The 24285-nt window shown below is 44.4% G+C and overlaps 1 protein-coding gene and 1 long non-coding RNA gene across 3 annotated transcripts in view, besides 2 other annotated features; one reads left to right on the forward strand and one right to left on the reverse strand.

The window, feature by feature from the left end:
• NSMCE1 (NSE1 component of SMC5/6 complex) overlaps positions 1–1133 on the reverse strand; it is a 43779-nt gene extending 42646 nt beyond the window's left edge. Inside the window, exons 1-2 of one of the 2 annotated variants that reach the window (XM_006721023.5) lie at positions 1067–1133; positions 524–735 (exon numbers count right to left, since the gene is read on the reverse strand). The gene's annotated coding sequence lies outside the window, so the exon portion shown is untranslated. The remainder of the gene's footprint in view (positions 1–523; positions 736–1066) is intronic. The other variant, NM_145080.4, reaches the window with a different exon arrangement.
• NSMCE1-DT (NSMCE1 divergent transcript) lies at positions 566–22829 on the forward strand. Its single transcript, NR_037184.1, has 5 exons — positions 566–605; positions 13897–13996; positions 19023–19105; positions 21161–21314; positions 22606–22829. It is a non-coding gene; the product is annotated as an NSMCE1 divergent transcript (long non-coding RNA).
• Positions 1027–1106: a silencer, noted in NCBI's record as "silent region_7299". NCBI's record gives its function as "represses an Ori minimal core promoter by ATAC-STARR-seq in GM12878 lymphoblastoid cells {active_cell/tissue: GM12878}" and the evidence as "EXISTENCE:reporter gene assay evidence [ECO:0000049][PMID:35858748]".
• Positions 4015–4563: an enhancer, noted in NCBI's record as "NANOG-H3K4me1 hESC enhancer chr16:27282975-27283523 (GRCh37/hg19 assembly coordinates)". NCBI's record gives its function as "activates a minimal SCP1, AML or CMV promoter by ChIP-STARR-seq in primed H9 embryonic stem cells {active_cell/tissue: H9 hESC(primed)}" and the evidence as "EXISTENCE:reporter gene assay evidence [ECO:0000049][PMID:30033119]".
• Positions 22830–24285: the final 1456 nt, after the last annotated feature.

Raw genomic sequence — 24285 nt, forward strand, 5'->3', positions numbered from 1 at the left:
GTCTGAATACCAAAACTTGTTTAAGTTGGAAAACTTGACCTGACTTAAGGTGAGGCTATTTATGGTTATTTATCCCAACAGTGTAAATATATGCATTTTTTTTTTTGAGACGGAGTTTCGCTCTTGTTGCCCAAGCTGGAGTGAAGTGGCACGATCTTGATTCACTGCAACCTCCGCCTCCCGGGTTCAAGCGATTCTCCTGCCTCAGCCTTCCGTCTCAGCCTCCCGAGTAGCTGGGATTACAGGCACGCACCACCACGCCCGGCTAATTTTTTGTATTTTTAGTAGAGACAGGGTTTCACCATATTAGCCAGGCTGGTTTCGAACTCCGAACCTCAGGTGATCCGCCCCCCTCAGCTTCCCAAAGTGCTGGAATTATAGCCGTGGGCCACCGCGACCAGGTCAATGTAATATATGCGTATCTTCATAACTTTAGCTGTGGAAAGGGTCGTGTATTTGATTACAAGCCGCTGCTCCAGCCCCCTCTGAGGGTGAAACCTAACATAGAACATAGGGACTTTACCTTTCCAAACTCCGAGAACTCCTCGATTTTAAACGCATCTGGCCTCGGGGCTGTAACATAAGCGGCTGCGGACTTGTACAAAGTAAGAAACTCCGTACACAAAACAGAGGGGAGCACGGAGGGCGGCGGGACAAAGAGGGTGGTCGGCAAAGGCTGTATTTTCCATAGATGTAATCACAGTTTGAATCGAATTTTATATTTTGCTTTTTCACCTGTTACAATGAAAAGTATCTTTACCTGTTAAATCGTAATTACGATTAAAAATATTTTTCACTAAATAGTAAGATTTTTAGATGTCTGCGTGTGTGTTGCGGGAGGACATCCCAGTCCGCTGTTTTCTGCGGCCCCTGTCTGGGCCTCAGTTTCCCCATCAAGAAGGGGGAAACCCCAAGACCCCAGTCCCCGAGTTCCACAGCCCACGGGGACCGACCCCGGGGCCGGACCCCACTGCCTGTCTCGCCCACCCCACCTTCCGTCCTCCCCTCGCCTTCCTTGAAGTCCCTCTTCTTTCCCCTCCAACCCCTAGCTCCCCACGTTACCCACCAGGGAGCCCAAGCGCATCCCAGGCCGCGCTAGCGGATACGGTCGCAAGGTGGACTCTTCTTCCTTTGAGGCGGGGCGAACGCGAACGCGGCGTTCCCATTGGTGGCCTGCGGCTTATTCGCCCGTCCGTTGAGTGACGCACTTCCGGTTCTCCGTTTGCGCCATTGCCCTGGTGGTTCCGCCTCGTGGGTTAGATCCCAAATTACGCCCGCTCTCGATCCTTAATAATGGGAAGGGGCTTCCACTTGTCGCCCTCCGCCTCCTGCACCTCAGTGACTTCCCTGACCAAGGAGGAAGAATTGGCGTGCAGCCTGGGCTTCCCTCAATGGCCACCATTCCGCTGGCACAATGTAGTGCCCTGCCCCGGGCCTCAGTTTCCCCATCTGTGGAACTGAGTGTGGCCTCGACGTCAAAAATGTGGACTCTGGTCCGGTCGCGGTGGCTCACGCCTGTAAGTAATCCCAGCACTTTGGGAGACCAAGGCGGGCCGATCACTTGAGGTCAGGAGTTCGAGACCAGCTTGGCCAACATGGTGAAACCCCCGTCCCTACTAAAAATACAAAAAGTAGCCGGGCGTGGTGGTGTGTGCCTGTAATCCCAGCTACCCGGGAGGCTGAGGCAGGAGAATCACTTGAACCCGAGAGGCAGAGGTTGCAGTGAGCCAGATCGTACCACAGCACTCGAGCCTGGGTGACAGAGCTCAAAAAAAAAGAAAAGAAAAATGTGGACTCTGTGGTCATAGAGCCTGATCTAGAATCCTGGCTCTGCCACTTACTAGTTGGCAGGCGCTTGGGCAAGTCACTGAGCCTCAGTTTCCTCTTCCATTAAATGAGGATATTAGTTCTTGCAAAATAGTGTTGGTGAGATTTACAAGAGATAATAACACCTATATCAGGTGCTTAGCATGGCCATTGAAAAGTGTCACATGGGAGTGCTGATTATATGTTAACTGTTATCTTACCTAGGGATTGTGAGAAAGCAAGTGAAATTACTCGTGGAAGTGAATGGACTGCTTTGAGTCTTCAAGGCGTTAATTTTCCAAACGTTTGAATTCTATCCCTGGTCTGAGAGCTAGGGATGCAGCCTAGCAAGGGAAACAGGTAACTAATATAGAACAGCAGTACCTGCAAATATCTGTCTCTGTGAGGATAGATCAAATCCAGGCTTGGTCACTCACCACCCCTGTGATCTTGGACAACCTCTTAACCTCTCTGGGCTTCAGTTTCATCTGCTAAGTGGGAAAGCAGTGGTGTGTGGTGATTAAAAGCTTCAGCTTTGGAGCTGGATGGTCAACATGGAATCCTGGGCCTTAAACTCAGTGTCTCTGAGACATAGGACAAAGTACAGTCAGCTGTCCATGTTTACAGGTTCCCCATCTACGGATTGAAGCAACTGTGGGTGGTTAATATTTGTGGGGGAAAACAGTAAAAAATAACAGTTCAACAATAAAAATAATACAGATTCCGAAAGCAATACAGCATAGCAATTACTTATATAGCATTTACATTGTATTAAGTATTGTAAGTAATTTAAAGATGATTTTCAATATACTGGAGGATTTGTGTAGGTTAAATGCAAGTATTCTCGCATTTTGTAAGCACCCAATGGTTCTCCTTGCCTGCTTCCTAGACAGAACCAATTTATCAAGACAGGGGAATTGCAATAGAGAAAGTTTAATTCACACAGAGCTGGCTGAACAGGAGACCACAGTTTTATTATTACTCAAATCAGTCTCCCTGGAAATTCAGGGTTTTCAAGGATAATTTGGTGGCTGGAGGTGCTGGGGATTAGAGAGTGTTGATAGGTTGGATCAGAGAGGAAAGGAGTCAAAGCTGTCCTCTTGCACTGAGTCAGATCCTGGGTTAGGACCATAGGACCAGATTAGCCAGATTACAGGGCTGGGTGGCGTCAGCTGGTGCATTAGAACACGGGTTCTGCAAAATATCTCAAGCACTGATTTTAGGTTTTAGAACAGTGATGTTACTCCCGGAAGCAATCTGGGGAGGGTCAGAATCTTGTAGCCTCCAGCTTGCGTGACCTCCTAAACCATAATTTCTAATCTTTTAGCTAATTTGTTAGTCTACAAAGGCAGACCCGTTCCTAGGCAAGGAGGGGATTTGTTTTGGGAAAGGGCTATTATTGCCTTTGTTTCAAAGTTAAACTATAAACTAAGTTCTTTCCAACATTAATTCCACCTATGTCCAGGAATGATCAAGGACAGCTTGGAAGTTAGAAGCAAGATGGAGTCAGGCCAGATCTCTTTCACTATCATAATTTTCTCAGTTATGCTTTTTACAAAGGTGGTTTTGATTTTACATAAGGGACTTGAGCATCGAGAATTTTGGTATCCATGGGGACTAAGGTACCAATCCCTCACAGATACTAAGGGATGACTGAGCTCAAGTTTTCAGCTTCAGTTTGCTCATCTATAAAGCAGGTTTAATAATAACACTTTGTTGATAATGTTATTCTGAAGATTAAAGGAAGAGTAAACGTAAACTACTTAGAAGAGTGTCTCTGGCACATTGTAAGCCCTCAATAAGTGTGAACTAACACCACTAATAAGTTCTTTATAAACTGCCTAATAGGTAGTCAAATAAGAGGGGAAATAAAGCCCTAAGGAGTAATATTTGTGTTTTGTTTGCCCTACATGGTTTTGTGAAATTTTCTATTCATTATCAATATTTAAAGTTGGGGTTTTCAATCTTTGACTGGGCATGATGGCTCATTCCTGTAATTCCAACACTTTGGGAGGCCCAGCTGGGAGGATGGCTTGAGCTCAGAAGTTTGAGATCAGCCATGGCCAACATGGTGAGGCCCCCATCTCTACAAAAAAAATATATACGCGCGCGCGCACACACACACACACACACACACACACGCAAAAATTAGCCAGGCATGGTGGTGAACACCTGTGGTCCCAGCTACTCAAGAGGCTGAGGTGGGAGGACAGCTTGAGCCAAGGAGGAAGAGGTTGCAGTGAGCTGAGATTGCATCACTGCACTCCAGCCTGTGTGACAGAGCCAGACTCTGTCTCAAAAATAAATAAATAAACTTGGGACATTTCACATAAAACCCTACTGTAGCTGACTGCTCTGGAAAAGTGGGGAAGTCTGACGACAGTGGGCCAGCCTTCCCCCATGGCAGCACTTGTTCAGAACTTGGGAGAGACCGTCCCCTTTTGTGAAGCATGTGCTTCCCTGGTGTGTGGAGAGATAAAAGAATAGAAAACGCTGGGAACACCAGCATTTCAAGATCAAAGCGTCAAGAAAAAAAGGTAGAAAGAAAAGAAAGATTCAAGACTGAGGGGGTTGGTCTTTCACTTGAAGACCATAGAAGTGATGGAAGACCAGGAAGAAATGAGAGAAGGTTTGTATTTTAGAAAAAGAACTTGGGTATATCTATTCTTTTCAAACATGCTTGGAACATTTACAGAAATTGATTACTGGGCCACAAAGGAAGCTTCAAGAAATTCTCAAGAATCTATAGGTGACATTCATGAACCACATGCTGTGAAAGTGGCATCAGAGGCACATAGGAATACAGACTTTTGAGAAGGAGGGTGTGGTCAGAATCGTCAATGCTCTGGAGAGGTCGAGTAAGATGCGCCACTGATTTAGAATTTGATGGCCAACAAAGGCCATCTTAATAGAGAGGGGAGGAAGCCAGATCGAACTCCAAGAGTGAAGAGTGGAAGTTGAGGAAGTGGAGAGGGAATGCTGACTGCTCTTTTGGGAAGTATGGCTTCAGAAGGGAAGACTTGAAGACATAGGAGCAGAGATAATAATCCATAAAATAAAAACAGGCAGCCGGGTGCGGTGGCTCACGTCTGTAATCCCAGCACTTTGGCAGGCCGAGGCGGGTGGATCATGAGGTCAGGAGTTCGAGACCAGCCTGGCCAATATGGTAACACCCTGTCTCTACTAAAAATACAAAAATTAGCTGGGCATGGTGGTGCGTGCCTGTAGGCCCAGCTACTTGGGAGGCTGAGGCAGAAGAATCACTTAAACCCAGGAGGCAGAGGTTGCTGTGAGCTGAGATCGAGCCACTGTACTCCAGCCTGGGTGACAGAGTGAGATTCCATCTCAAAAAAAAAAAAAAAAAGAATTTGAGACTAGCCTGGCCAACATAGTGAGACCCCATCTCTACTAAAAATACAAAAAATTAGCCGGGCGTAGTGGCGCACACCTGTAGTCCCAGCTACTCTGGACGCTGAGGCAGGAGAATGTCTTGAACCCAGGAGGTGGAGGTTGCAGTGAGCCGAGACTGTGCCAGTGCACCCCAGCCTGGGCAACAGAGCAAGACTCTGTCTTAAAAAAAAAAAAAAAAACACCAAAAAAAAAACAGACAAAAAGGGATGGGGTCAAAGGTGTATAGCGACAGGATTACTGTTAACCTAGAGAAGAGAAGAGACACTTCTGAAACAGCAGGAAAAGAGGTGAAAGTGGCTAAAAAAAGCTCACTCCTGATGTTTTCCGTTTTCTCCGTAAGGTAGCAAACAGTATCAATCTTTGGCTGAAGAGGGCCTGGCGTGGTGGCTCACACTTGTAATCCCAGCACTTTGGGAGGCTGAGGTGGGAGGATTGCTTGAGATCAGGAGTTCGAGACCAGCCTGGGCAACACAGCAAGACCTCGTCTCTACAAAAAAAAAATTAAAAATTAGCCGAGTGTGGTGGCATGTGTCTGTAGTCCCAGCTACTTGAGAGGTTGAGGTGGGAGGATGGCTTGAGCCTGGGAGGTAGAGCCCAGGAGGTTGAGGCTACAGTTGAGGTTAAGGTTGAGGGATGGTGCCACTGCACACCAGCCTATCCCAAAAAAAGGTTGGGAGGTGCTGAGGAGATGCTAAGGGATTTAAGGGGAATGGATCAAAAGGTTTGGAAGAGACGCTGACGACAATGCAGAGATGAGTTCCTAGCTGAGGTTGAAACCAGAAATGTGTAGAGATGACAGTTGGTTATCTGATCCCTCCCTCAACACCCCCATCCCCATCCTGGGGGCTTCAGAGCAGAAGCTCAGCCTGGATTCATACTGAAGTGGGCCTTAGCTGGGGTTAAGCAACTGATTCATAGAAGGCCAAGTGACGGGAGAATGCTACTGTCAAGTGATCCACTATGGATCTGGCAAAAATAAAAAGAAGGGAAAGTGCTGACAAATTAAAATGGAAGCAGTACAGCAATCAGAGGCCTCTATGAGGTGAATCTCGTTCAGCAGGAACAAGTAGTGAGTAAGGATCGAAGTTCATCATGCAGAGTGGTCCCCCATGGGGTGACAGTCCTGCCTCAGTATGACTCAGAGGACGGCTCATTCCCTAGTGGGCTCTGTGAGTATTTATTGGGCCTTTGAAGTGCCAGACTTTGGACTCTCTATTCCTGGACAGCTCTGATGGTTCAGACTTCTCAAAGCTGACCCTAAAATGCATGAGAGCTATGAGTACATAAATTTGTTGACCACAAGGCGAGGGCCAAGGCCTTGGCTAGAGAGGAAGCTTCGGGAAATAATATGCTGAGGGTGTTGGTCTTTCACCCGAAGACCACAGAAGCTTATGAAAAGTAAGTGATGAGATCAGGCTTGTATTTTAGAAAAAAAAACTTTGGTATATCTATTCTTTACAGAAATTGACTATGTACTGGGCCACAAAGGAAGCTTAAATGAATTCCAAAGAATCTATAGACCACATTCACAAACCGCAATGTGGTAAAATTAAACATCAACAACAAAAAGAGAGCCAAAAAGGTGTAGATACAATACACCTTAAATTAGTAACTGCAGCTGCTTCTGAGGAAGGGGCCAGGAAGTCAGAATGAACTTTTTTTTTTAACCACGTACATCTATTACTTACGAATTTTTAAAAATTAAAAATTGGGCGGACGCACTGGCTCACGCCTGTAACCCCTGCACTTTGGGAGGCCAAGGCAGGTGGATCACCTGAGGTCAGGAGTTTGAGACCAGCCTGGACAACATGATGAAACCGCATCTCTACTGAAAATACAAAAAAATCAGCCAGGCATGGTGGTGAGTGCCTGTAATCCCAGCTACTCAGGAGGTTGAGGCAGGAGAATTCCTTGAACCCAGGAGGCAGAGGTTGCAGTGAGCCAAGATCGTGCCATTGTACTCCAGCCTGGGCAACAAGAGCAAAGCTCTGTCTCAAAAAAATAAAAATTAAAATTAAAATTAAAAATTATAAGCATATATTCGAGTTTTATTTCTTAAGTGAGGTGTTGAGTACAGGACCATGTACACAGGTATTATATTTTTTATATGTTGAAAGATTTTATCATACATTTTTAAAAGAAAAAGAACACATGTTTAGAAACTGAAAACATTCAGATTAAAAAGAAAACCAATATGGAAATTATAAAATATTTGGAAATAAATGACAATGAAAACCTGACATCATAAAACATGTGGGATCCAACTAAATAATTAGCTGGGCACGGGGTTCACGCCTGTAATCCCAGCACTTTGGGAGCCTGAGGTGGGCAGATCACCTGAGATCAGGAGTTCGAGACCAGCCTGGCCAACATGACAAAACCCCGTCCCTACTAAAAATACAAAAATTAGCCGGGCATGGTGGTGGATGCATGTAATCCCAGGTAATCAGCAGGCTGAGGCAGGAGAACCGCTTGAACCCTGGAGGCGGAGGCTGCAGTGACCTGAGATCACGCCACTGCGCTCCAGCCTGGGTGACAGAGCAAGACTCCATCTCAAAATAAAAATAATAATAATAATAATAATAATTAGAGGGGGACTTATAGCTTTATACTTCTTACAAAATAAGAAAAAATGTAAGGGAGTTAATTGTTAAAAGTTAGAAAAATAACAACTACAGAAACCCAGAGAAAGCAGAAGGAAGGAAATAAGAATGAAAAAGCAGAAATGAGTAAAACAAAGAACAAAAGAAAATGAAGTTGATTATAGAAGCCAAAAGCTGGTGTTCTCTTAATGACTAATAAAATAGAAAAACTTCATGTAAGATTGATCAAGAAAATCATACAAACAATACGATAAATGGCAAACTGAACATACCAGCTAGAGTAAAAATTTTAGAAAGCACAAAAGTATACCACAAACTTTATGCCAATACATTTGAAAAATTAGAAAAAAGGTAATTTTAACAAAAATAAAAATTACAAAACTTGACCCAAGAAGAAAAGTGTTAGGTTGGTGCAAAAGTAATTGAGGTTTTTGCCATTAAAAGTAATAATCACTAATGAAATCGAACTAGAAATATAGGATATGCTTCACCTCCTAAGATGTCCAGAACAAGTAAGTTTTACTGGAGTGATCAGCACACACAAAAAGACTATATTATGCAAAATTCACTGGAATATGAACAAGATAGAGAAAGCTATTCAACACATTCTGAGACTAGTTTAATTTTGACACCAAAAAGAGAACAGCAAAATTAAAGAAAATGTCAGGCTCATCTATATTACAAATATGTATTGAAAAAAATTCAGTCTACCAGTGTATCAAAAGAATATCTCTTCCAAAAGAGAAAATTCACATGGCCAAAAAATATGTGGGGACCAGGTGCAATAGCTCATGCCTGTAATCCCAGGATTTTGGGAGGCTGAGGCGGGTGGATCACTTGAGGTCAGGAGTTCGAGACAAGCCTGGCCAACATGGTGAAACCCCATCTCTCCTAAAAATACAAAAATTAGCTGGGCATGGTGGCAGGCACCTGTAGTCCCAGCTACTTGGGAGGCTGAGGTGGGAGAATCACTTGAACCTGGGAGGCAGAGGTTGCATTGAGCCAAGATCACACCACTGCACTCCAGCCTGGGTGATGGAGCTAGACTCCATATTAAAATATATATATATATATATTTATATATATGTATATTTATAAAATATATATTTAAATATAAATATAAAATATACATTTAAATATAAATATATATGGAAAGATGTTTAACCTCACTATTAGTTGGAAATAAAACAAGAAAAGGAAACCAACTTTTTCCCTATAAGAATGACAAAATGTGGTCAAGGGTAAAGAAAGACCAGTATTGTACGTATATGGTGGGGTTATAAATGTTGTATATAGCCCCTCTGGAGAGCTATTTGGTGTTACTGAAATTGAAAAAGCTTATCTAGCAATTCCACTTCTAGGAATTTAACTGAAGAAAATCTCCCATGTGTGCTTGAGATTTGCTGCAACAATGTGGTGGGAAAAAATGAAACGTCCTAAAGAGCCATTAATAAGGAAATCAAAAAGCAAGATAGTCATGTACCACGGGTGGTCATATAACATGAAAAGGAATGAATTAACTCACAAGTGTCTACATGAATGAATCCTGAAAGCATAGATAGAGTGGGGGAAAAGCAAGATATAAAGATGATACAGCAAGATCACCATTTATGCAAATTTGGAGCAGTGCAAAATGGCAATATTATAATTTGCCAGTAGATAAGCATATGCATATAAAACTATTTTCTATTTAAGGATTGAAAAGATTGTTATAAAGCTCAAGCTAGAGGGCCTCTAGGAAGGGGAAAGGAAGATTGGGATGGGAGAAGAGAATAAAGATCTTGAGGTTTATCTGGAATATTCTAATTTTATTTCTATTCATTTATTTTGAGCTGGAGTCTTGTTCTGTCACCCATGCTGGAGTGCAGTGACGCGATCTTGGCTCACTGCAACCTCTGCCTCCTAGGTTCAAGCGATTCTCCTGCCTCAGCCTCCCAAGTAGCTGGGACTACAGGTGCACGCCACCACACCCAGCTAATTTTTGTATTTTTAGTGGAGACGGGGTTTCCTCATGTTGGCCAGGCTGGTCTTGAACTCCTGACCTCAAGTAATCCGCCCACCTCAGCCTCCGAAAGTGGGATTATAGGCGTGAGCCACCGCTCCCAGCCTGGAGTATTCTAATTGTGAACTAAAATAATAAAACTATGTATTCATATAGCAATGAATTTAAGGATTGAAAAGATTTGAAAATTTAATTTTTCAAATATTGGCTTTAAAAAGGCGTTAAAGTCAAATATGCCAAAATGTTAACAGTGGTTAATGTTGGATGGTAGAAAAATGGACAACTGTCATTTTTTTCACTTTTACTTTTCTGTATTTGAAAACAAATTTCTGATAGGAGTGAAAATATGAAAAAAGAATTAAAAGTGTATTTTTGAAAAGTACATAGCAATGAATGGAGAAGAGAATGGAGACTAGAGACCGGGTTTTTCACAGCCCAGGTCAAGCCCTTTTCAGAGTCGTTTTCATCAGCATTTGTATACTACATCATTTTTGTTTCTTTTTTTATAAAGCTCAGCAGTGTGATAAATACATAATTTTTGGATTCATGAAATTTTAAGTTCAAGCCAGGTGCAGTGGCTCATGCCTGTAATCCCAGCACTTTGGGAGGCCAAGACAATTGGATCACGTGAGGTCAGGAGTTTGAGAACAACCTGGGCGAAACCCCATCTCTACTAAAAATACAAAAATACACACACACACACAAAATTAGCCAGGCATGGTGGCACATGCCTATAATCCCAGCTACTCAGGAGGCTGAGGCAGGAGAATCGCTTGAACCCAGGAGGCGGAGGTTGCAGTGAGCCGAGATGGCGCCACTGCACTCCAGCCTGGGCAAGAGTGAGATTCTGCCTCAAAAGAAAAAGAGAGGGAGGGAGGGAAAAGAAAAGAAAAGAAATTTTAAGTTCAATCTAGCAGAGGTGATGCGCGCAAGTTGGTAGGGAAAAAAAGGAAAATGATCGCCCTCTACTCATCACTCTTCTTAAAAGGAATGGTGACAGCTCCCAAAGGTCAATTTTAAAAACTGTCAATAGGCCGGCCGGGCACGGTGGCTCATGCCTGTAATCCCAGCACTTTGGGAGGCTGAGGCGGGCAGATCATGAGGTCAGGAGATCGAGACCATCCTGGCTAACACAGTGAAACCTCATCTCTACTAAAAATACGAAATATTAGCCGGGCGTGGTGGCACACGCCTATCTTCCCAGCTATTCAGGAGACTGAGGCAGGAGAATCCCTTGAACCCAGGAGGCGGAGGTTGTGGTGAGCTGAGATCGCACCACTGCATTCCAGCCTGGGAGACAGAGGGAAACTCCATCTCAAAAAAATAAAAATAAAAATAAAACCAATTACTAAATTTAAAGGCAGCAGAAAGCTCAGACGCTAAAATGAGAAATACGCACATTGCCAGAGGCAGTGTAGACGGTTCAGTCTCTCCACAGGGCAATTTTGCTGTACTCATTAAGAACCCAGACATGTCTGTGTTCTTTGACCCAGCAATTCCACTTCTGGGAATCTATCTGGGGAAATAATCAAAGATGCTCACAAAATTAATATACAAGGAAGTGCATGAGAGACTTAATTATATTAGGGGAAGAAGGAAACAACTTAAATGTCTCCCAATGTTATAAAAGAGAACAGTTGGAGTGTGTAACAATTCTATGGAATCTTATGTACCCTAAAAATCATGTTTTCAAAGAATACTTGATGTCAGAAAAAAAATTCAGGATATTTTAAGAGAGAAAACTAAACACACACCAGAATATTAACAGTGCATATAAACTTTTTATTATTTTCTTATATTTTCCAACTTTTCTCCAAGAGTATGTCTTATTTTATAATCATAAGAGATACTATTTTTCAGAATAACCGAGTCTGTGTGATCATAAAGATTTTAGATATAAGGAAATAGAGAATATATATAATGGTCTACATAGATATGATTGGGATATAGTTATAGCCATAATTACCCAGCATCATCTGAGAATTGTTATATATAAGATTTTTAAATTATTATTATTATTTTTGATACAGGGTCTTACTCTGTCACCCAGGCTGGAGCACAGTGGCATGATCACAGCTCAGTGCAGCCTCAACCTCTCAGACTCAAACAATCTTCCTGCTTCATCCTCCCAAGTAGCTGGGACCACAGGCATAAGCCGCCATGGCTGGCTTTTTTTTTTTTTTTAATTTTTAGTAGAGGTGGGATTTTGCTATGTTACCCAGGCTGGTCTCAAACTCCTGGGCTCAAGCGATCCTTCTGCCTTGGCCTCCCAAAGTACTGGGATTACAGGTGTGAGCCACCGCACCTGGCCCAGAATTGTTTCACATAACTAGAATATTCCTTCAAGCACCAACATTTTTTAAAGATTTTTTCTATCTTTCTATATTAATTATTCAAAAATATATCTCTCTGCCATCTGAAGCACACGATGACCTTTCTTGATGAGTACAAGGTATCTTTGAGGGCCAGGCACAGTGGCTTACGCCTGTAATCCCAGCACTTTGGGAGGCGGATCATTTGCGGTCAGGGGTTCGAGACCAGCCTGGCCAACATGGGGAAACCCCATCTCTACTAAAAATACAACAACTGTTCTTTTGGCTTAGGATTGACTTGGCGATGCGGGCTCTTTTTTGGTTCCATATGAACTTTAAAGTAGTTTTTTCCAATTCTATGAAGAAAGTCATTGGTAGCTTGATGGGGATGGCATTGAATCTATGAATTACCTTGGGCAGTATGGCCATTTTCACGATATTGATTCTTCTTACCCATGAGCATGGAATGTTCTTCCATTTGTTTGTATCCTCTTTTATTTCATTGAGCAGTGGTTTGTAGTTCTCCTTGAAGAGGTCCTTCACGTCCCTTGTAAGTTGGATTCCTAAGTATTTTATTCTCTTTGAAGCAATTGTGAATTGCAGCTCTATTCACAATAGCAAAGACTTGGAACCAACCCAAATGTCCAACAATGATAGACTGGATTAAGAAAATGTGGCACATATACACCATGGAATACTATGCAGCCATAAAAAATGATGAGTTCATGTCCTTTGTAGGGACATGGATGAAATTGGAAATCATCATTCTCAGTAAACTATCGCAAGAACAAAAAACCAAACACCGCATATTCTCACTCATAGGTGGGAATTGAACAATGAGAACACATGGACACAGGAAGGGGAACATCACACTCTGGGGACTGTTGTGGGGTGGGGGGAGTGCGGAGGGATAGCATTAGGAGATATACCTAATGCTAAATGACGAGTTGATGGGTGCAGCACACCAGCATGTCACATGTATGCAGATGTAACTAACCTGCACATTGTGCGCATGTACCCTAAAACTTAAAGTATAATAATAATAAAATTAAATTTAAAAAAAAATACGAAAACTGGCTGGGCGTGGTGGCGCATGCCTGTAGTCCCAGCTACTGGGGAGGCTGAGGCAGGAGAATTACTTGAACCCAGGAGGCAGAGGTTGCAGTAAGCCGAGATCGCACCACTGCACTCCAGCCTGGGCAACAGAGTGAGACTCCGTCTCAAAGATATCTTGAGGACAGTGACTACTCTAGGGCTTTTTGCCTTTGCAAGAAATGCCCCAAGACGGTGGTGAATTTTTCATTCTAGGGTCAGCTTTTCGTATTATTTCCATCTCTTCCCCTCTGTCGGGCTACCAGAAGTCCTAAGCGCTTATAATTCCCTTCTTCTAACATCCTCTAACCTGAGCAAACACATAGCCAGTCTTGTTAGAAAAAGTGGCCAAAAATTAAAACTAAATCTCAGTAAAGCATAGAAGTTTTAGTGTGTAGAACTTGTTACGCTTGTTCTCGCTTTTCAGACCTCTGTTTCCCCTGCGTCTGTGTTCTTGACTCTTTTTCTAAAAAGATAGTGAAGCTACCAGAGAAGTGATTTCCAGATAAGATACAAGGTAACAGTGATTTCCTAACCGACTTTTAAAGAGAACTGATCAAAGGCTGAATTCAGGGCAAGCTCATCAAAACCCCCAACCCAAGCTTCTGAAGAGTTCTTGAATTGTGTTGGCCGTTCTGATCCCACTAGTTTTCTGCACTTGCTCTTCCAGCAGCCTCAGCACCCCCTGGGAGCTCGAGACATCTAAGGAGTTGACTGAGGCCCCTCCCTGACATACTGAAGCGGAATCTGCATTTTAGCAAGATCTGCAGGTGAATTCTGAGCGTGTGAATGCTTGAGAAGCCCTGATCTGTAACACATTTAGATTCTTTCACATACCGCACACCGCATGCTCTTAAAGATTATTCCAACAGTAATATTTATCTTTCTCTCTCTCCCTCTCTCTTTCTCTCACTGGGAGCAGGTTGTAAGTCATTTCCACTTTGCATGTGTTTCATTTTCTTTTTTTTTTGAGACAGGGTCTTGCTGTGCCATCCAAGCTGGTATACACTGCTGAATACTTGTAAGGCCCTTGATACTATTTGATAGGATGAATGCAAAAATTGAATTTAAAAAATGAATTTTTTGGCCGGGCGCGATGGCTCACGCCTGTAATCCCAGCACTTTGGGAGGCCGAGACGGGTGGATCACCTGAGGTCAGGAGTTTGAGACCAGCCTGACCAACATGGAGAAACCCCATCTCTACTAAAAATACAAAAATTAGCTGGGCATGGTAGCAGGCGCCTGTAATCCCAGCTACTCGGGAGGCTGAGACAGGAGAATTGCTTGAACCCAGGAGGCAGAGGTTACAGTGAGCCAAGATCACGCCACTGTACTCCAACCTGGGTGACCGGGAGAGACTCCATCTCAGAAAAAAAAAAAAGAATTTTTTAAAGAGATAGGGTCTCACTCGGTCATCCATGCTGGAGTACAGTGGTGTGATCTTAAGTCACTGCAGCCTCAAACTCCTGGGCACAAGTGATCGTCCTGCCTCAGCCTCCCAAGTATCTGGGAGTACAGGTGCATACCACCACACCCAGCTAATTTTTTATTTCTTGTAGAGATTGGATCTCACTTTGTTGCCTAGGCAGGTCTCAAACTCCTGGCCTCAAGTGATCCTCCCTCCTTGGCCTCCCAAAGTGCTTGGATTACAGGTGTGAGCACCCAACTGTTGTGTTTCTTTTTAAATGGACAAAAATGGAGAACTTCCTCCTCTCTATGGTTCTTCTTTATTAGTCTACCAGCTCCTTTGAGTCCCCCTTTTTATGATTTGGAAATTATTTATTCCTTTGGGAGCAATAAACAAATAGTTCCAAATTGCTGCTGCTTCTTTTGTCTTCAATAAGATGTAGACACCAGGATTAGGGATGGAGTGTGGTTGGAGGATGAAAAAGTAAAATCCCTACATAGAGTGTCTGTTGCAAATAAAGAGCTTGGTGAATATTGCTGCTGTTCTGATGTTTCCAGAGTGTTTTACTCTTTGTCATTTAATAAGGCTTTTTAAAGTTATGACTACAATTTGATTGAAACATATAGATATTATTATATATATGCCACCGTCATAAAAATAGAGATGCAATCATATTTTTAAATCTCTTTTAATTAAAACTCACTTGAGACCAGGCATGGTGGCTCATGCCTGTAATCCCAGCACTTTGGGAGGCCGAGGTGGGCAGATAACCTGAGGTCAGGAGTTCGAGACTAGCCTGGCCAACACGGCAAAACTCCATCTCTGCTAAAAATACAAAAATTAGCCGATCGTGGTGTCACATGCCTGTAATCCCAGCTACTCGGGAGGCTGAGGCAAGAGAATCGCTTGAACCCAGGAGGCAGAGGTTGCAGTGAGCCAAGATTGTGCCACAGCACTCCAGCCTGGGCTACAGAGCGAGACTCCGTCTCAAAAAAAAAAAAAGAAAAGAAAAAAAGAAACCTCACTTGAAAATGGATTAGAAAACCACAGTTGAAAAGAGAGTAACTGGTTGACTCACCACGTTTTTCATTTTCAGCCAGGCGTAGTGGCTCATGTCTTTAATCACCGTACTTTGGGAGGCTGGGGTGGGAGGCGCACTTGAGGCTAGGAGTTTGAGACCAGCCTGGGCAACACAGCAAGACCCCGTCTCTACGGAAAATTTAAAAATTAGCTAGGTCTGGTGGTGGTACACACTGATGAATACTTATAAGGCTCTTGATACTATTTGATAGGATGAATGCAAACATTGAATTTAAAAAACGAATTCAATTCCTATAGTCCCACCTACTGGGAGGCTAAGGTGGGAGGATCGCTTGAGTCTAGAAGTTCAAGGCTGAAGTGAGCTATGATCACACCACTGCACTCCAGCCTGGATGACAAAGAGAGACCTTGTCTCTAAAAACAAAACAAAAATTTCATTTTCATTCAGTTTTTACATTCATCTTAACAAATCTTATCAAGAAAGTGCTCAGCAGTGTGGTAAGATGCAAAGATGAATCTCCGTAGTCCTTAGGTCAGGTTGCTCTCAGCTGGCAAGAAAAAATAAGATAAATGCACATTAGTAAGTGTAATCAACAAAGGAATTGCTGGCCAGGTGGAATGTCTCACCCATGTAATCCCAGCACTTTGAGAGACTGAGGCAGGAGGATCGCTTGAGCCCTAGGAGTTTGAGATCAGCCTGGGCAACATGGTGAAACCCCGTGTCTACTAAAAATACCAAAATTAGCAACGTGTGGTGGCACACGCCTGTGGTTCCAGCTACTGGGGAGGCTGAGGTGGGAGGATTGCTTGAGCCCATCTGCAGAGTTCAAGGCTGCAGAGCTCACAGGCCTGTGGTCCCAGCTACTGGGGAGGCTGAGGTGGGAGGATTGCTTGAGCCCATCTGCAGAGTTCAAGGCTGCAGAGCTCACAGGCCTGTGGTCCCAGCTACTGGGGAGGCTGAAATGGGAGGATTGCTTGAGCCCACTGTAGAGTTCAAGGCTACAGTGAGCCATAGATTGCACCACTACACTCAGCCTGGGTGACAGAGTGAGACCCTGTCTCAAAAAAAAAAAGAAAAGAGAGAGAGAGAAAGAAAGAAGAAAGAAAGAGAAAGAAGAAAGAAAGAAAAGAAAGAAAGAAAAAGAAATTGCTACTAAGTGCTGTTAGTTTATCAGTTAAGCTGGTTTAGGTACAAGAAACTGATGTGATAATCTAAGCAAAAAAAGTTTATTGGAAGGGTAGGAAGGGTATTGGTGTATATTATTCAGGACAGTCCAGGTCATGCTGCTATAACAAACATTCTCAAAATTATTATTTCTAGGTAGTGGAATCTACCACATGTGGATCAGCAGTAGGCTCTGCCCTCCTTTCACTCAGACTAATGGAGGTTCCACCATCTGGTGGCTGCAGCCCTGAAACATGAAGCCTTGTTGGTGTGACCATGGCAGGGGAAGAAAGAGGCTGGGGGTTTGCACAGGGGGTTTTTACTGCCTCAGCCTGAAAGTGACATGTGTCCTTTCTACTCTAGGATCTCTGGTGAGAACTAGTCACAAGATCTTCCCTAAATGCCAGAACACTGGGAAATGAAAGGGAACAATGGAATCATTGGCGAGCATTACTGTCTCTGCTCCAGGGTGGCTCGTAGACTCAAATGAAAATGCTGGAGCCTCAGATTTGGGACTGAATGTGGACCAGAGAACTTGGCAGACCTTGCCAGCAGCAGCTTATGGAGGTCTGGTCAGGCTGTCATCCATTTTCAGCTATCTGTCACCCTCTCAGGATTTGCACTGGAGAAAGAGTAAGAGCAGAGAGAGAGAGAGAGAGACAGAGAGAGAGAGAGAGAGAGAGAGAAACAACTGATTGGCCCAGGCGGGTTCTACGTCCCACTTGAAACACAAGTTAATGGACAACTTGATTGACAGAGTTGCACTAAAAGGTGGTGGGGGGAGTTCATCCAAACAAAACTGGGGTGCTGTTACAACAAGAGAGGGAGGGTAGGTGCATAGTGAGCAAAAGTACACACTTGCTGCAGAGCTGGTCCAAATACCCACTCTTCAGAGTTGACATCATCTGGAAGGTTTATAGAAGTGGGGGCTTTCCAGATTAGCTTTAGAGGATGGGATAACTGATGCAGAGGAAAGGTAATGCAGGCTGAGAGGCCCGTGTAAGCAAAGTGAAGCTGCAGAAGAGTGCAATCATTTGCAAGAAAGAGAAGGCTGGCTGGGTGCAGCGGCTCACACCTGTAGTCCCAGCACTGTGGAAGGCCAAGGCGGGAGGATCCCTTGAGCCCAGGAGTTTGAGACCAGCCTGTGCAACACAGGGAGATCCTGTATCTACAAAAAATTTAAAAATTAGCCAGGCATGGTGGTGCATGCCTATAGTCCTAGCTACTCAGGAGGCTGACGTGGGAGGATTACCTGAGCCTTGGGAGGCTGTGGCTGCAGTGTGTCATGATTTTGCCACCACACTCCAGCCTGGGCAACAGAGTGAAACCCTGTCTCAAAAAAAAAAAAAAAAATGAGAAGGCTATTGAGATTGAACAGAGGATATGATTTGCAGTTACATTTTCACCCCAACTTACCCAGCTTATCTTTCCTTCCCGTGGTGTCAACTCAGGGGACGCAAATGGGTGGAGGCTGGTTGGAATGGCTCATACTACATCATGAGATTGGAGCCTGGTCCTCCATGTTGGCTGAGAGTCTCAGTTCTCCTCCACGTGGCCTCTCCTTGTGGTCAGCTTACATTTCCTCAAAACGTGGCAGTCTCAGGGCAGTTGGGTTTCTTGTGTGCTGGCTCAGGGCTCCGGAGAGGATAACATCAGAATATCTTGTTCTTCCTCAGGCTTGGGCCCAGACTAGCACAGCATCATTATCTTTTTATTCTGTGAGTTAACATATTTCAGAGGACCAGTGCAGATTCAGAGTGGAGAGGGCTGCATAAGAACACGAACACTGGGAGGTGGCTTCATTTGGGGCCATCTTTGGAGACCAACTATGATGCATGATGTAACTGACCTGAATTCCCAAGCCCCTACCCCCAGCTCCAGCATAAGGTAGGTAAGAAGTGACTGGCAACATAAGTGGGTCATGTTGGAGGAAAGGTAAGTCTGGAGCTAGGCCTTACAGGTGTTCAGTGCCACAGATGAAAATGATGGTGCCAGGAAAGAGGTAGGGCAGGAGGTCTTTCTCTTCATGGGCCTCTTCCCAGATTTCCCCTGTGGATCTTGTTGGCAAAAACTGAATCACATCAGCACCTCTTACTGCAAGGAAGCCTGGGCAAGTCAGAATCCGTGAAAGGGAAGTGGGATTGTTATTTCTGGCCTAAGTCAACCCTGATTCATTCTCCAGGCATGTGTGGGCCATTGCAGCCTGAATTAATCAGGAGGGAAGAAGAAGTGCGACGATAACTGGCCAGTGATACACAGTGGGAGGTCAGTACAAACCTACCCCAAAGGCCGAGGAAGCTGAGAGGTTGAAGAAAGAGGCTGACAAACCCAGTTTTTCAGAGACAAATTTTTGTTGTTGTTGTCATTGTTGTTTTTAGAGACAGGGGCTTACTCTGTCACCCAGGCTAGAGTGAAGTGATGTGATCAGAACTCACTACAGTTTTAACCTCCTGGGCTCAAGCAGTCCTCCCACTTCAGCCTCCCGAGTAGCTGGGACTACAAGTCACACACCACACCTGGCTAATTTTTTTTTAATGTTTTGTAGAAACGGCCTCACTATGTTGTCCATGTTGGCCTCAAAGCCCTGGGTTCAAGTGATCCTCCAACCATAGTCCCCCAAAGTGTTGGGATTATAGGCTGGAGCCGTGGCTTCCTAGAAAGAAGCATTTAACTGGGACTTGTGAAGAGAAGCCACGTATCCAATGGTTGAGAAATAGTAGTCCCCTGTGCTGCTACCTCCCAGCCCCAAGACCAGGGCTTATATACCATAGGGAAATTGCCTAAGGGCAGGATTTATGATTAGCATGTGTTTACAATAACATCAAGGTTGTTTTGACCTAAGGGCAGGCTTTGCAGTAAGTAGAAATCTTAGAGGCATTCCTGCAACTGTGGTGAATCTTAAGTCAACATGGTGGATCTGCATCCAAAATGGAGTTGCTTTCGCCTCACAGTAGGCGACATACAGAGGATGTCACAAGCAACAAAAAACAGGGAAAGCAGCTTGGAGGATATAGCTTTACTTCAGGTGAGAGGAGGGTGGGGCTGGACCAGGGCAGAAGCAGCAAGGAGTGGGAAATAAGCCAGATGTGAAAATGAACACAGAAGTGGAGGGTACTGCGTGGAATACTATGCAGCCATAAAAAAGAATGAGATCATGTCCTTTGAAGCAACATGGTTGCAGCTGGAGACTGTTATCCTCAGTGAATTAACACAGGGACAGAAAACCAAATACTGCATGTTCTCGCTTATAAGTGGGAGCTAAACATTGAACATGCATGGTCATTAACATGGGAACGATAGACACGAGGGACTTCTAGAGGGAGGATGGTAGGAGGGGGCAAGAGTTGATACGCTTCCTATTGGGTACTATGCTCAGTACCTGGGTGATGGGGTCATTTGTACCCCAAACCTCAGCGACGCACCATTTACCCATGTGACAAGCCTGAACAGGTACCCCCAAAACCTAAAAGCTGGGAAATAAAAAAAGAAGCAGAGTGCACAGCCCATGGCTGCTGTGACTGTCTTTCACAAGCGAGAATGGGAAAGAGAGACAGAGAGGGAAGTCAACAATGACAACATCATTTCCAGCTTGCTTAATTGGATGGTGACACCGTCCAAGCACAGAAGTTAGCTCGCGAGAGACAATGACTTTGCCCTAGGCATTCTGAGGGCAAGAGGTGTGAGAGAACATGCTCAAGGTGTGGATCATGAAACACGAGGGCATGGGCCAGGTCGGGGGGCTCACGCCTGGAATCCCAGCACTTTGGGAGGCCGAAGCAGATGGATCACATGAGGTCAGGAGTTCGAGACTAGCCTGGCCAACATGGCAAAACCCCATCTCTACTAAAAATACAAAAATTAGCTGGGCGTTGTGGCAGGTGCCTGTAATCCCAGCTACTTGGGAGGCTGAGGCAGAAGAATCGCTTGAAACCTGGAGGTGGAGGTTTCAGTGATCCGAGGTCGCACAACTGCACTCCAGCCTAGGTGACAGAGTGAGACCACCCTGTCTCATAGATAAATAAATAAATAAATAAATAAATAAATAAATAAATAAAATACTAGGGCATGGGAGAAAGGACAGGGCTAAATGTGGAGACTTTAAATGACCAACGCAGAACTGTAGTCAATGCCATGCTATGGGCTGGGTGCAGTGGCTCATGGCTGTAATCCCAGCACATTGGGAGGCCAAGGCGGGAGGATTGCTTGAGCCCAGGAGGTCAAGAATAACCTGGGCAACATAGGGAGACCACGTCTCTACAAAACAAAATAAAACCAAAACAAAATCATCACACTATGGAATGATGTGTCTGCTTGTACCAGGTCTGGAAGAATGCACACCCAATGCTCACAGAGGTTCCATCTGGGAAATCGGATTGGACAGGGCCAGAATAGATCCGGGGAAACATTCACTGAATATATATACTTATGTATTGTGGAAGCTTTGATGGTGGTCATGTACCCAAGAAGGGAAAAAGTAAGTTTATAAATGAGCAGAACCAGAAGAATGCTAGAGGAAAAAGGAGAGGATGTGAATGATTACATTTAGAAGGCAGGATGAGAAGTGAGAGGAGGTGATTAGAGAGGTCAGGAGAAACCAGGAGGGTAGGTATGGAATCTTGGAAATTAACAGAAGAGAGCATTTCATGAAGAATGAACAGCTGCAGAGAGAAAAAGATTGCATGAGAACTGGGAAAAGAAAGGCTTTGTGTTTGGTGACACTGTCATAGCTGACCCCAGAAAGCATGGTTTGAGTAGAGTGGCCCAAAAGAGAAGGATACTGGAAGGGGAGGATCAGTACCAGAGATGAACTACAGTCGTATATAAAGAAATGTGATGACATGAGGAAAGAGAGCACTCATTGGGGTCGAGAAATGATACTTCTTGCCTCTGGGAGAGTGATCATATCCTTAAAATTTTTTTTTTTTTTTTTTTTTTTTTTTGAGATGGGGTCTCACTCTGGCACCCAGGCAGGAGTGCAATGGTGCCATCTCAGCTCACTACAACATCCGCCTCCTGGGTTCAAGTGATTTTCATGCCTCAGCCTCCTGAGTAGTTGGGACTAGGCACCCGCCACCAATGCCTGGATAATTTTTGTACTTTTAGTAGAGACGGGGTTTCACCATGTTGGCCAGGCTAGTCTCGAACTCCTGACCTCAAATAATCTGCCTGCCTCAGCCTCCCAAAGTGTTGAGATTACAGGCGTGAGTCATTGCACTCGGCCTTAAAATGTATATTGATACCACTCCTCACTTCTAGCTTGTTTTTGACCTGCAAACCAAGAAGTAAGCATTACATCAACCTGTACAAGGTGCACATCAGTGATTCCTGCAACATCCTGCATCATGATGGGACCGGTAGTTGATGTGGTAAAAATATGTTGTGCATTAGTCTTTCCCACGAAATTTTTTCTAGCCACAAAATTAACCAGAAATAAGAGAAGCATAGCCCCATCCCCCCTTTTCTCAGCAACACAGAAAGGCAGTGTCTCCAACACAAGAGAATGAATAACCTGCCAAAAACTAAGTTAGAAATACTGATGAAACCAGGTTAGATGATACGCCGTAGTTTCTCTGCCATCCCACAGTGGATTGAAACCATGTTACAATTTGATGATGGGATGTCCCAGAGCAAATGAACAAGGTTGTGCCAGCAGAAATGAAGCCTGAGGATTTGGGGTCATTCACTTGTGAATGATTCCTCTCTCCCTGTCTTCTTTCTCTTCCTTTTTGCTGTATTTTTTTTCATGTACTCACTCTCTTCCACAGACAGACTGCGGAACTGCCCATGAGGCCAAGCACCTATTAGTAGACCAAGAAGCATCACCCATCCATGGCCTAAGTCGGCAGCCAGCTATTGTTCTCATCTGAGTCTGGGAGTTCAGGATTTCCATCCTGACCCGGCTACTTTCTTTCAACAGTTACCCACTGTAAATTTCCGAATACTTTCAGCTACTAATCCCAGTGTACCCAATTAAAAATGGCTTTCCTAATAAAGGCATTTCAGATCGAATTTAGCAAAGTGTTCCAAGGTAGGAGTTTCCAGGGCTGGGGCAGAAACTCAATGATCTTATAAAGGCCCCTGCTCTGACATCTTCAGCATGTTGGCTTTTATCCTTGGCTCTGTCCTCATGGTTGCAAGATGGCTGTCACAGCTCCAAGTATCTCCTGCCTCCAAGACAATGTCCAAAAATCTCTTTCTCTCTCTCTCTTTTTATCAGAGAGGAAAATCTTTCCCAGAAGCCTCCTTGCACACCTTCATTCAAGCTCCATTGCCCAAGATTAGGTCATCCACCCCCCCTAGCTGTAAGGAGCCTGGGGAGGTGAGTACCTTGCATTTTCAGTCTCTATAGTGGAAAAAAGGAGTTGGAATGACTACTTGGTAGGCAACCAAACATCCACTACAAGTAACAGTGATGGAAATAAAAAGTAATAATGACAGCTAACATGAATTATGCTATTAATACATGTTAGACATTGTTCTAAAGGGTTAACATGCATTGGCTTAGTTCATCCCAAAAATACTAACGAGATCCGTATTATTGTAGTCCTCATTTTATAGGCAAGAAAATGGGCTCAGAGAGACTTTAAAAATTTGCCTCCACCCCTGCCCCTCCCAGCAAAAAAGAAAAAACTTGCCCCCAGCCCGCAGAGCCCCAGTTAGAAAGCCCACACTTGGCCTTTTGGAGACCAAGGTCGGTGAGACATTCCTTGGCATCAAAAGATTCACAGTTCAGAGGAAGGCCCAGGCCAGAAAATAAATGACTGAAATATCACGAGTGAGGTAAGTGCTGATCTAGGAGAAATAGGGTGTTAGCAAGAAAGTGTCTGGCCGCAGCATCCCTTGGCCCCTCTCCTAGGACTGCCAGGCCAATCTTGTGTTTCCAGTGAAACCTCCCAGGGAGGAAGCGAACAGAAGAAGTTGCCTGAGGTGCATGAGCCAAAGCTGGGGCCTCAGTTGTGGAAGCATCTCCCAAACTGGGATGATGGGGGTGGGGGCATTTTGGAGGGTGTGACAATGCTGTGTTGCCTCAAAGTGCCCAGAGAGGCACCAGGACCCTAGCAGGAGTAACTGCATGACGCTATAAGGGAGGTTGCACCCCCCCAGCCACTGCCAGGTGCCTGTGCCCAACCTGGGAAGGAGTAGCGAGGACACCCACCTTCCAGGACCAGATGGAATTGGAAAATACTGCACTGTGTTGCCTGCTGCAGATAGGAGACAGAGGGCCCTCTCTAAGTGTCTGTGCTGTGTAGGACACCCCATCCCCTATCCTCTGTTTCCCCCTTTGGTTCTCTGTAGGCACAGAGAGAATCCAGACAACCACTGAGAGCAATTTATTGTACTCTGGGGCTTGAGGCCTTGGCACCAGACTTAATTGTATTTGAAACAACAAATTCCTATGGCGTGTCGTACATCCAGAGAGAAAGCCAGTCTGAGCTTGGGGCTGC

Source organism: Homo sapiens, chromosome 16, assembly GCF_000001405.40.
Source record: "Homo sapiens chromosome 16, GRCh38.p14 Primary Assembly".
Classification (NCBI taxonomy): domain Eukaryota; kingdom Metazoa; phylum Chordata; class Mammalia; order Primates; family Hominidae; genus Homo; species Homo sapiens.